Here is a 13786-nt window from a genome sequence, read left to right as displayed (position 1 = left end):
TCAGAAACTGAAAATCAAATACTGCATGTTATCTTTTATAACTGAGAGCTAAATAATGGGTACACATGGACATAATGATGAAAACTAGAAACTCTGGGGAGTCCAAAAGGTGTGAGGGAGGGAGGCAAGGGTTGAAAAACTGCCTGTTGAGTACTATGTTCACTATTTGGGTGATGGGTTCACTAGAAGCCCAAACCCTAGGATTATGCAATATACCCATGAAACGAACTTGTAATGTACCCCTGAATCTATACCAAAAAAATGTAGATAGTCATGTATATTATGAAGTTAATGATGTAATTGCTGAGAGGTGAGAGTACAGGAACTTTATTTACTTATTCATATTTTTTTTGTATGTAAGTTAACTTTATCATCTATACATAACCTGTAAAATGAAAAAAAAGTTATTTAAAAATATGCAAAATTTGTGGTTTTTGAAAATTGCATTTAAATTGGTCGTATTTTATGGGGCTTCTATGTTTAAATTACAACACAGCTGACACAGTTCTTAAGCAACACACAAGTTCTTTCTACAACTTCCTCAGTAGCAGTAACACTGCAATGACCCCATTTTTTCTTAGTATATACACCAGTTTTTGCCCTTTAATATAGTAGTATTGAAATTTTTGCTTACTTTACCACAATATTTCCTAAACACCGAGCCTTCAGTTTTTGCATGTTGTCATCCAAAATCATAACTACAAAGTAAAATATAAATATTTGAATAAAAATTCATAATCTTAAAGCTTAAACATTTTTCTATATTTTTATATTCAACCCAAAAAGCTCTAGCTTAAGAGAGTAATCTTTTAATTCCTGTGAGACCATGAACAAATATAAACTAAAATATCTTACAAAAAAATAAAGAGCACATGTATCTGATTCCTAATAACATCAGAAATTTTCCTTCAGAATATCCCTTAAATGAAGACATCATATTTCAAACGTGGTAATTTCATCTCTATGTCTATGTCCACTAAATATACCCTTGTAATCTATTAGAAGCATTAAAAACATGTTCAGCTTTTTAAAAAGTAAAGGAAATGAAGTTTTCAAACACACCAAAAAATATACGCAACAAAAATAAAATACTTACAAGCACCAAAAACCCCTTATTCTGATTTAAAGCGTAATATCCACTTAGGAGCTTTAAATTTGGTCAATTTAATCTTCCCAAATATTATCTCAATACTTTCTGTGCTGTCCTGATAGAATCCTAAAAGAGTTTAGGAGATTAAAGCTTGTATCCACATTCAGTAACCCTTGGTGCAAACTAAATATGAAGATAAGTCATCATCTTTTAGGCTTTAATAGATTATTTATGTGGCCTCATTCATCCAGGTAATTCTACCTTAAGCAGATATGAGAAAAGAAGGTTGTTGCTCTCAGAAAAAAATTAATTGTTCCCTTCTTTGTGTTCCTGGAGCACTTTGTTTTAAAATTCTGTATTGACAGTTAGTAGAAGTATCTGTATCTAACTAGATTGTGAGTTCACGGAGGCCATGGCTAATTTATCTTTGTTTCCCTAAATCTCAGTACAGTGGCCAAATCACTATATGCCCCAGGCACATTCTGTAACCCGTTCAGTTTCCCTGTCTATGAAATGGGAGAAATCTCTTTCTCATAGTGCTTATGCAAGAAGTATTTTTAAAAATGTATGCAAAGTGACAAGTTTGCATAAGGTACTCAATAAATGTGTTATATTAAATTAATTGTTTTTTAGACAAAAAGGATTTTCTTTTCTTTCCTAAAAGGATCCTGCGTTTTTTTTTATTATTATACTATTTAATATTACATTATGATTTTAATCTCTAAACAATCACAAAACATAAAAATTATCAGTCATAAAGTCACTGATTCCTTGGTTTTAAATGTTTAACCTGTACTGTCTGCAAGCCAGTTGAGAAACTTCTGTACTGAAGTTACATGAGGGAAGAAAGCTTAACTATTTCTTACAACTAGATATAAAAATGGCACTGAAATACTAACAGAGAAATGTGTTTAACGTCTTCCACCATCAGAAACCCCTAAAAATGTCTCAACACAAAACATTTTTTTCTGATAAAAGGAGCAGAGATGACAGACTGTTTAAACAGAGGATTTCACTAAATCTGGGTTCACCTTTCCAGGGCTGGAGAAGTCACTGACTTCACAGAATATCTATTTCCGCCTTGAATAAAAAAAAAATCTGAAGTATCTTTTTATAAATGTATCTGCTAGGTTAAACCAAATGATCCACGTTTTTGTAACTAGCCATTGTCCTAGAAGGGAAATCCAATATTTTTATGTTAGAGAAGCAAAAGTCAAATCTCTGAATTTTGTAGTTTATATGCAAATAAGAAACATATGTTAGGAATCATATTTTGTCTCCCAAAGCTAGGTTTTCTTCATAGGTCTACTAAGCCAAATTGTGTGACCTTAAGCAAATTACAAAACCTCTGTGCCTCATTTTCCTTGTCTGTAAAATGAATGTGTTAGTCTAAATCAAGTCAGTCCTCTGACTTTTCTGAAATATTAGTAGCACTACTAGCTAAGACATATTCTGCCTTTCTACTGGTAGGCACTGTGTTAATGCTTTATTGCATAACATCACAAAACAGAAGCCCTGGAAAGCATATAAAAATGTTACTCTTATTTAGAAATAAGGAAACAGTGTTCAAAAAGTTATGTGACTTGTATAATTTATACACCTAGAGAGAGCCATCCAAGATAAATTGTTTAATAATAATGGTTACTACTGTAAATTTAAAAACAAAAATTGACAGGATATTATAGCTTTTAGTCACATAAAGCCAGCATCAAAGAAATGTTTTCTTTTGGGATCCTCCCCCTTTGTTTTTATTTTTATTTTTATATTTATTTATTTATTTTTTGAGACAGAGTCTTGCTGTGTTGCCTAGGCTGGAGTGGCACGATCTCAGCTCACTGAAACCTCTGCTTCCTGGGTTCAAGCAATTCTCGTGCCTCAGCCTCCCAAGTAGCTGGGGTTAGAGGCGCACACCACCACACCCGGCTAATTTTTGTATATTTAGTAGAGACGAGGTTTCACCATGTTGGCCAGGCTGGTCTCAAACTCCTGACCTCATGTGATCCGTCTGCCTTGGCCTCCCAAAATGCTGGGATTACAGGCATGAGCCACCACTTCCGGCCTGTTTTTATTATTAAACAATAAGGTTTAAAAACTTTGTCCTCAATCCTAAATTAAAATGCAGCATGTGTAATATACAGTAAGAAACTGCAGCTTTTGAAATCAAAGCAAGCAAATTCTGAGGACAATGGTTTGCATTGTCCCCAGGATCTAACCAGCAGTGTTATCTCAAGAAAATTATTTATTCTGTTAACCAGTTGGTTAACTCATCTCTAAAATAGTAATGATAGCTCTGAATTAAATATACTTCAGCATGAAATGAAAAGACATATATAAAGTACTGGGCTCCCAGCAGGTGTTTCCTTCATAGTAATTTCACACCCATATTCCTAACATACCTTATTAATGATATTATTTTTGTGGTTATGACAGTCATTTAGAACATATCCTGGAAATCCACAACATACTTTTGATAGCAAAAATTAAGGCATTCATTTTTAATACAAGGCATTCATTCAACCAGATTCTAATTAAGCCCCTAGTTTGTTTCATGCAACATAATACACACTAGATGCAAGAAAATGCCAAATTTATTAACTTTACGTATTATCAGGGTCATTCCTTACCATTGTATCCTGGGACGCTTTTTCCTGCTTGCCCTGGTGGAGGTGTTTTAGAATTGCCTAATCCAACACATGACGCAGTAATTGGAGATCCAGTCTCTGGAAAAAGAAATGTTATTTATCACTTCATGTTTTAACTTGGAATCATAATGTTTCTTGAGTACATGCACACTCTACCCCACCCTAGTTTGTCATACAATGCAGCTGTGTTAGGAATAGATGAATAGTGCAAATATATTATTTAAAAATTTAAAGCTATCTAGTAACTTATAACATATCCACAGTATTAAAACTTAAGAATTCATAATTAGAAAAATTTATATAGTAGTGTTTCTTCTAAAGAAAAGAAAGGCTGCTCTAGCGTTTGCAATTGTGGATCAGCAGGCGTGTAGAATGGAAAATTATGTGACTTGGACGGTTCCATAACACACACTAAAAGCTAAAATGATCACTAGAAAAGATGCTTTCTCTTGACTCACCTAAAGTTATTTCGTTTATCATTGTTAATTACAGTTGTGTCAAAACATTTTTGTTATTTCTAGCTCATTCTCCGGAATAAGTAACCCAAAGATTTTTGAAATTATTACATTGATGTAAAAGTAATTGCGGTTTCTGCCATTACTTTTAATATATGGATAATATCGTCATTTAGCATTAGGTATATCTCCTAATGCTATCCCTCCCCCCTCCTCCAACCCCACAACAGTCCCCGGTGTGTGATGTTCCCCCTCCTGTGTCCATGTGTTCTCATTGTTTAATTCATGTTGTGCACACGTACCCTAAAATTTAAAGTATAATAATAATAAAAATAAAAAAAGATTACACACAGAAAAAAACATTTTAATAAAATGTCTTTATAAATTAAAAAAATATATAATATATATGGATAATATCATGCTCTAATTTCCTAAGAGCTACACTTGCCTAGAGAACCTGCATTTAAAGCTAAATTTGGCAATAGTTTTTCAAGTTGTTCAGTCTGCTGTTCCTGGATGTTAGAAGCCCCAAAACACAGGGAGGAAGATGACTATACTCTGCTGACTATTTCATCAAAACCACGAACTTTCTCACAACTAGCCTGCAATGATTGACAAAAATGCTAAATTTGTTTTCTGTGTCTCAAGTTGTAACAGCCAGAATATTAGCTATTACCTGATTACCACAAGTTCTGAAAGTGGTTATTTTTAATGGAGGGATGCACTTATTAACATTCATAAAAGCAAGTTTGGAGTTAACACAATCTTTTGAATACAAAATATATATGTACGAAAGGGCAGGAAAATAGTATTTGGTTAGTGAAAAGTTTGGGAATTACTTGCTTAGTATTACACACATAACCTACACATACATATACCCAAGGAATTAACTGCCAAACCCATCATATCTAAAGTAATCCAAAAAAATTAAAGGCATCCATCTTCTAAAGTACTCAGAATGTGTTCCTTCTACCATGGGCTCTACCATAATTTATCACATATTGATATCACTTTAGAATGATGGGAAGAATTTATTACTGCTCTTTACCTTCCAGAGTAGTTCATTTTATTATTCACATTTTATGGATGGAGGCTCAGCTGGCATCAATAACAGAGGATGAACTCTTGAACATCAAAACACAGTTCCTAAGTCACAGTTTAGTGCTCAAGATGCTAAGCCATATGGTCACTGCTGAGGATCATCGGCAAGTAACCAGAGCAGACATTTCTGATGTTTAACAAAGAGTTCTAAAGTATTTTCCAAGCATGACAAAAAAAAAGGTGGGGGGCAGGGGGGAAGGTATTTTATGAAATGGCAATCCATAGCCATCTAATACTCCTGCCGATTTTCCCCACAGCATAATCAAAGCAAGGGAGGACATCTGCATGGTCAGAAGTGTTAACAGCATTTCCCCCTCTGTTTTTTCAGAAATGTCCAGGTGCTCACCTCAGCTATCCTTCGAAATGGATATGAGAGACCAGAGCAGGGTGATGACAGGAAGCAGTCTTGTAGAGTGAGGTGCTTAAAAGAAGGTACACAGAACAAATAAGATGATAATAGGAAGAGAAGCTTCTCAGACACATTAGGAAAGGAGATACCACCTTCAAGATGCTTTTGTTACTTCTACTACCTGGTGCAAGGAAGCTGCTAGAGTAAATCTATTTTAGAAGTATTCTTATTAAGTTCAGTTTGTCAATAGGGACACACCAGTTACCTAGAGTTCAAACTCTCTACAGTTCTTACAGTGTGGATTCTCATGAAAGACGTTATCACTCTGTTGTTCCTATCGCACTGGGAGAAGGGGGATGTAGGAAAAGAAGGTGAGAGTATAACCTAGTCTTAAATAAAGCTGCAAGACAGCAAGAAAGGATTAATGAAGCGTTGTCCTTCTTCACTGCCTAAGTAAGCTGATATACGAACCTCCTGAGATTCCCAAGCATCTTTCTATAGTAATTATTTATTTATAACCTTTATTCTTCATCTTTTTTATACATTATGATTATAAGACAACTATTAAAAGCTTATTTTTCTATATAATTAATTTGAGTCTTAAACTTTAGGGTGCTGAAAATGATTATTCATTCAGGTTGCCTAAAGTAGATAATATATGTTTATACTTTGAACATTAGTAATTCAAGTGTCTTGTTGACTTTATTTTGATTGATTCATTCAAAGGATTAGAAAAAGAACTATTGCTGGCTGGGCGTAGTGGCTCATGCCTGTAATTCCAGCACTTTCGGAGGCCGAGGCTGGTGGATCACCAGAGGTCATGAGTTTGGGACCAACCTGGCCAACATGGTGAAGCCCCATCTCTACTACAAAGACAAAAATTAGCCAGGCGTGGTGGTACCCACCTGCAATCCCAGCTACTTGGGAGGCTGAGGCAGGAGAATTGCTTGAACTCAGCAGGCAGAAGTTGCAGTGAGCCGAGATCACACGACTGCACTCCAGCCTGGGTGACAGAGCAAGACTCCATTAAAAAAAGACAGAAAGAAAGAAAGACAGACAGACAGATGAAAGAAAGAAAGAAAGAAAGAAAGAAAGAAAGAAAGAAAGAAAGAAAGAGAGAGAGGGAGAGAGAGAGAGAAAGGAAGGAAGGAAGGAAGGAAGGAAGGAAGGACAAAAGAAAGAAAGAAAGGAAAGAAAGAAAGAAAGAAAGGAAGAGAAGAGAGGAGAGGAGAGAAGAGAAGAGAAGAGAAGAGAAGAGAAGAGAAGAGAAGAGAAGAGAAAAGAGAAGAGAAGGAGGAGAGAAGAGAGGAGCGGAGAGGAGAGGAGCCGAGCGGAGGGGAGCGGAGGGGAGCGGAGGGGAGCGGAGGGGAGAGGAGGGCAGCAGAGGTGGGTGGGGAGGGAAGGGGAGGGGAGGGGAGGAGGTGAGGGGAGGGGAGGAGGTGAGGAGAGGGGAGGAGGGGAGGGGAGGGGAGGGGAGGGGAGGGGAGGGGAGGAGAGGAGAGGAGAGGAGAGGAGGAAAGAGAACTATTGCTAGTGACTTGTAGAAAATACAATCAGACAAAATGGCAGTTCCTAGGACTCTAAGCATACTAAGGAATCATAGGTAGAACAAAAGTGAGCTGAAAAAGACCGTAGTTGTTGTTACAGATACTTTGGTTATCCTTCTTTGTACCTCTGAACATCCTAGGACCCAAGGACTGACGCATCTTCAATATAAACATATACATATTTCCTCACACACTTATGCACACAGACAAGATAAACACTCTTGCTCTCAAACTGGTCCACGTGCAGAATAGGCTTCTGATTAGTGACAACCCCTAAGCATGCTGCAATCCTTAACTGAAATCCTATGAACTCCCAAAGCCCCATTTCCAGGATGTTCTAAAAACATCTGCTTCACACTACCCGGGCTGTAATTAAGTGGCTAGCAGTTATTTATGGAGACAAGAAATCTAGATGTCATGTTGCAATTGGGAAATAGCTACAATAAACAAACTAGAGCATTCTCTTTGTAGAAGAGCATGGGATACTTCATTTAGACAAAACTTTACAAAAGCACCTCACCTTAGAAACACAAAATGTTCAGCAAATCACCAGCATAGTTTCTTTAGATAAGAGACAGCTAGGAAGAAGATGAACAGGGAATTGAAGGGTATGAAGAATGTCACCTTAGCACATTTATACTCACCCTGCATTAGAAGCTAATAGAGAAATTTCCTTGTTTTTAAAAAAGGACAAACTTCATGGTATCTTTACTGCATGTCTTTACTGACTCACTCTACTTTATTATATAATAAGCTGTTACCTAAATGAATTTACTTTAAAATTTCTGACTCTGAAGTAAAAACAGGGAAGACAACTAGATACATATTTTTCCAATATGAATTATGCTATATACCAAGAGTCGAGTGCTTTTAATCTATATAATTGCATTTATTCCCACTACTACAAGACTACAGAGAGAAAAGGGAGTATTCTTTTTACTGATGAAAAATTCTGAGGATTAGCCAAGAAAATTTAAATAACTTGTTCTAGTTTTCATAGTTCTTTCAAAGAAGGAGAAGAATGGAATAGACAAGTACCACTTCTGAAGCTCTCAAGTAACAGACAGAGGATGAGAAAGGAATAAAATCACCTAGACTGTGTCTCAGTAGAGGAAGAAAAATCCCTGTGGCAGGAAGTGAGCCCAGTCCCCCATACTTGCAAATAGCATTACTGGTGGTACAAATCACTTACTAGCAAATAGTTTTTGAGCAGCTATTATGTGCTAGGTGCTGTTGTTAGAACTGGAGATACAATAAACAAAAGTAGCCAAAATTTCTACCCGCATGGAGACCTCCCAATTTCTAACTGGGGAGATAATGAACAACATATTATACAAGAGTAAAATGTGTGGTGTGTAAAAGAGTGATAAATACTAACGGAAAAAGGAAACATAAACTGAGTATGAAATGTCATGGAGAGGGTTTTCAATTTTGTATTGAACAAGAAAGACCTCCCTGAGAAGGTGACATTTAAGTAAACATCTGAAAGAAGAGAAGACATGTGACACATAGATATTTAGGGGAAAAGAATATAAGAGAAGGGAAACTCAAGTTCAGAGGTCCTGAGGTCGGTTCATACCTAGAGTGTTTGAGAACAGTGAGGCAGCCAATGTGACTGAAATAGAATCACAGAATTAACAAAAAGTATTGATAGGAAATAAGGTCAGAGAAATAGTGAGGAGGCAGATCATGCAGGAATACTTCAAAGTCATCCTAAGACCTTAGTCTGAGTGACATTGTAAGCTAATGAGGGCTTCTGAACAAAAAATTAATGAATCATAACAATGTAAATATAATTTATTTAAATAGTTACACACCATTCAGGTTCTATGTCCATGTTTAATTTATTTGGGCTGCAAGAGAGATGTGTAGTAGGAAATGCAGAGACTGACAGAGGCTGTATTAGAATAACTGGTTAATAGATTTCTGTGGCTTTCTAAACATCAGGGACCAATTCACATGATAATTCACAAGACTGACAGAAAAACTAGGGCCCAGTTGGGTGGCAGATGACAGACAGACTGTGTGGGTAGATGGTCCACATAAACCAAAGATAATCCCTTTTGTTATGTAAGTGTGAGCATGCATAAAATTGATACATTTCTAAAAGAGAATTTGGCAGTTCTTATAAAAAATCCTTAATCTACCCATTTTGACATGATGTGATTATTACGTACTGCATGCCTGTATATCTCATGCAACCTATAAATATATACATCATGTATCCACAAAAATTGAAATTAAAAATTAAAAAAAAAGAGGCTCCTGACTGCATTCCCAGCATTTTGGGAGGCCAAGGCAGGTGCACTGCTTGAGCCTACAAGTTTGATACCAGCCTGGGCAACGTGGTGAAACCCCATCTTACAAAAACACAAAATACAAAATACAAAAATTAGCCAAGTATGGTGGTGCACACCCAGTAGTCCCAGCTATTGGGCAGGCTGAGGTGGGAGGATCACTTGAGTCTGTGAACTCAATAGCCTGATAGCACCACTGCACTCCAGCCTGGGCAACAAAGTGAAACCCTGTCTCGAAACAACAACAATGGAAAATTAATTAATTAAATTAAAAATGAATTAAAATTCCATCAAAGCCAAATTTTAAAAGCCTATGTGAAAAATAATTATTCTTGCTGCACTTTATACAAATAATTAGGCCAAGTATAAGACTAAAGCTTATTTTTACAAGCAAATCAGTCTTATCATGATTTATCTTTAGTAAAAATGGGAGACTGGAGAGAGAAAACTATTTTTCAAGAACTACGGTATACCTATTAGATTCCAGTCTCATCACTTGTTTCTGAGTTTTTTCCTGTAATTTAGACTGACCTTGATTATTCCTGTGAACCAATCAGTGATCTCTGACTGCAGCTCAGAAGAAACAAAAGAGATGGGTAATGTAAAATTCCAGATTAGTATTCTAATTCTGGGTATATATTGGAATCAGCTAGCATCCCCATATCAGTTTGGTTCCAACAGTTGCCAGGTTCATAGCCTTCTTATTTAGTTTACTTGGGATAGTTTTTACTTATTTTGCTATACTATTGTGGAATATATTGCTGTTGTACTCTATGTGTAGGAATGCAGGATAAGCTTTCTCAATGTCCTCTTAAATTGAACACGTTTAAATCTTTCAGATATCACCTTTTGATGGAATCCAAGAGTTATGAGTGGTCCTCAACATACTGATGCTTTCTGACGAAGCTCCTCTCTAACCTGAATACGAGAGACCCTAATAGGCAGGAATATCATCACCCCATTCAGCCTGAAGAAGTTACAGAAGATGGATTTTAATCTGTCTACGACCCTTAGGATTAGGTTTCTCTTATAAAAGGGAAGGGGAAAATATGTCAGAGGCATTCAAACCAGAGCAACTCCATCTTGAATAGGGGCTGAGTAAAATAATACTGAGACCTACTGGGCTGCTTTCCAAAGTGGTTAGGCATTCTTAGTCACAGGATGAGACAGGAAGTTGGCACAAGATACAGGTCACAAAGACCTTGCTGATAAAACAGCAAGAGGTAAAGCAGCTGGCCAAAACTCACCAAAACAAAGATGGTCATGAAATTGACCTCTGGTCATCCTCACTGCTCATTATATGCTAATTATAATGCATTAGCATGCTAAAAGACACTCTCACCAGTGCCATGAGTTTACAAATGCCATGGCAATGTCAGGAAGTTACCCTATATGGTCTAAAAAGGGGAGGGACCCGCACTTCTGGGAAGTGCTCACCCCTTTTCTGGAAAACTCATAAAACATCCACCCCTTGTCTAGCATATAATTAAAAATAACCATAAAAATAGCCAACCAGTAGCCGTTCGGGCTGCTCTTCCTATGGAGTAGCACTCTTTTTTTCCTTTACTTTCCTAATAAACTTGCTTTCACTTTACTCTATGGACTTGCCCTGAATTCAATCTTGTGTGAGGTCCAAGAACCCCTTCTTGCGGTCTGGATCAGGAGCTCTTTCAGGTAACAAATTCATCACTGAATACTGTCCGGGTTGTTTTAGTCAACAATACTTGGAGACTTGGAGCACCAGAATCCCTGGCTGATTTCTGCCTATGATCCACAAAATCATGAGATATGGTTGTTGTTTTAAGCTGCCAGGTTCTGGAGTAATTTTTTTTTTTTTTTTTACATAGCAATAAATACTAGGAACATTTCCCATTAAAAATGTTATATAACCTTTTTAAAAAGATTTAGTGCAAGTCTCAAAAAAAAAGTGCATGTAGTTAACAAAAAACATTCTCCTAGCCTGCAGCTGAAATCAGTCTGTGTGCCTGAGAGTCATTTGTATCAGCAGGACCAACAGTCCAGTCCCTGACATTCTGTGCTTGGGAAATGTTTGCTGACTAGTTAATGCATACTTCTAACATGATTTTAGGCTCCCATGATAAAGATCAGGGGCCTAAAAAAAATAAGTAGCAAATCACAGAATGTAATCCCAAAATGAACCAGAGAGAAAAAAATAGAGGACTCCAGGAAGATAAAAGCTATATGTTACCATTATGATTCCTTTACAACATTTTCTTATTCCAAGAATGATATTCAAAGGACAGTCATTCAATAAGTATTTATCGAATATATTCTATTCACTAAAAGGTATTTCTTCTGGGGAAAAGGGAGTGTTGAGGGTATAAATAACATGCCAAATAGAAATTGCAGCATGTATAAAGGTTCAGAAGTTAGACCACCAAAGGACTGTGAGTTATTCCGCAGAGCAAAGCTTGCGGGAGGCAAGTGTACTTAGGGAGATAATGAGAGACCAAGTGAAAGAAGTAAACAGCGGGATGAAAATCCCATGTTAAGAAATTTGAATATTGTTCCAGGAACAATGGGAGACATGGGGGGTTTTGTAAAGGCGATTTGCTCAGAATTGCATTATAGAAAAATCTCTTCAGTTGCTAACTGGAGCACTAAACTGATGATCCCAACCCAAAGCAATAAATCAGATAGATGTGGATGGTCTGGTGCAGGTGACTGGCAGTGGAAGATAAGACCAAATTTTAATTATACTCAAGATCAAAAGGTCTTGGTGATTGTCTGGATACGGGGCAAAAGCAAGAGGGAAAAGGCCAAGTTAACCCCCTGGGATATGACTCAAAAGTTAAAGGAAACTAGATGTGAATGAGGGTTAAGAGGAAGATGTGGTGGCAAGTTCACAAGTCCAGCTCTATAAATCAGAGCTCCCGCTGCATCTGGCAATCTGCCATTCTGCCTTTACAGTGGTTCCAGAAACTACATTAAAACAATATGGATTTAGAAGTCGGTAGTCCATGCTGCGAGTGGAAGACTTACGAATAAATCAATGCAGCAACCTAGTACTGCTGAATCATATTAATCACAGCATCACGATGGGCATAGAGGCAATTTGTAAAGAAACCATTCTCCCCACCTCTGAATCTTTACAGTGAACTATAAATAACTTGAATAGGTAGCAGAAAGAAAGCAGAAACAGTGAGATGTACACTAGTGAAAGAAAATCAATGTAATCTTTGTGTTCAGGAGATGGTAGGATTTTAGTTTAAAATAGTTAATTCAAAGCAACCTATAGGTTGCTTCTTTGTATAGGAAGAAGACCATTAATTCGAGCTATGAGACACTGGTCTTATCCTACTCCCTTATAGCACATTGCCTCTAACTGTGGAGGACTCAATGGAGAAGCCCATAAATAACCTTGTGTTTAACTAGATAAGAAACACTGAGTTAATGAAGGCATGAGATAAAAGCTATGGGGAGAGGACCCAGGACAGCACAGAAGAATGAGAGTTCTGGTTCTAATGTCAACTAGCTAGTTGACTCAAGGAAAGTAAAATCTCTACGGTTACATTTTCTCAAACGTAAGTTCCGCTTTTACAGTCCAAGTTTTTTTGAATCTGAATTATTTACAGGCCAAGATTCTAAAGATGGCCTTTACATTAATGAAGGGCTATTTATAGAAAGGAAAATAAAAATAATATTTTTTGAGTGCTGACTATATGCCAGGAATTCTTCTAGGTTGTTAGTACATATTTCACTTCACTTAAAGCTTTCAATTAGTCCTGAGGAAACTTAAGATCAAGGATTTGCCCTTGGCTATAGAGTAAGTGGCTGAATTGGGATGTAAAGGCAGTCCTACTGGATTCTGCATCACTTCTTGCTACCCACATTGTTTCTCCAAGGAGAATAGCCACCTGCTGTTTTCCAAATTAAAATTCACAGCAAAAGAGGAATTGGGAATTGTTTTGTGGGGGCAGTAGGCCCAGTGCAGGGGTTTACGTGTATCAGGGGGAATCAAATTTCCAGACAGTAAAGTTTGTCAAGGGAAGGTATAGATAACTCTTGCTCTTGTGAAGATCTATAAAAACATGACATATTTTCAACTTTCTAACATGGTTTATACGTGATCCTTGCCCAGAGTAGGAGGAGAATTAGAACAGATATTTCAAAGGCCAAAACAACTTTATGTTATTAATCGATTTCCCAGCGTTTAGTCCCTTGCCAAAGCATTGTCACTGATATAATAATGAGCACAAATAGTGATTCCAAAACACAATTCTACATCTCTGAACTAATTTGTGTAATATATTTTTTAAAAAATGATGTTCTTTTTACATTATA

General features: G+C 36.8%; 1 protein-coding gene across 6 annotated transcripts in view, besides 1 other annotated feature; it reads right to left on the bottom strand.

Annotated features, from left to right (window-relative positions):
- The window catches only part of ACSS3 (acyl-CoA synthetase short chain family member 3), a 183340-nt gene that overhangs the window by 40500 nt on the left and 129054 nt on the right, over positions 1 to 13786 (bottom strand). For 5 of the 6 annotated variants that reach the window (XR_944720.4, XM_047429549.1, NM_001330243.2 and 2 more), the window contains 2 exons: positions 3715 to 3810; positions 635 to 698 (listed from right to left, as the gene is read on the bottom strand). Coding sequence is in view for 4 of the 6 variants with exons in the window: in XM_047429549.1 (XP_047285505.1) it covers positions 635 to 698; positions 3715 to 3810 (160 nt within the window). In the remaining 2 variants the exon portion in view is untranslated. Of the gene's footprint in view, positions 1 to 634; positions 699 to 3714; positions 3811 to 13786 lie in introns of those variants that run through there. The other variant, XM_005269151.6, reaches the window with a different exon arrangement.
- Positions 11774 to 12275: an enhancer, noted in NCBI's record as "NANOG hESC enhancer chr12:81602215-81602716 (GRCh37/hg19 assembly coordinates)". NCBI's record gives its function as "activates a minimal SCP1, AML or CMV promoter by ChIP-STARR-seq in naive H9 embryonic stem cells {active_cell/tissue: H9 hESC(naive)}" and the evidence as "EXISTENCE:reporter gene assay evidence [ECO:0000049][PMID:30033119]".

This window comes from Homo sapiens, chromosome 12 (genome assembly GCF_000001405.40).
Source record: "Homo sapiens chromosome 12, GRCh38.p14 Primary Assembly".
Classification (NCBI taxonomy): Eukaryota; Metazoa; Chordata; class Mammalia; order Primates; family Hominidae; genus Homo; species Homo sapiens.
The sequence above is the reverse complement of the archived record's forward strand: the minus strand, read 5'-3'. Positions and strand labels throughout refer to the sequence as shown.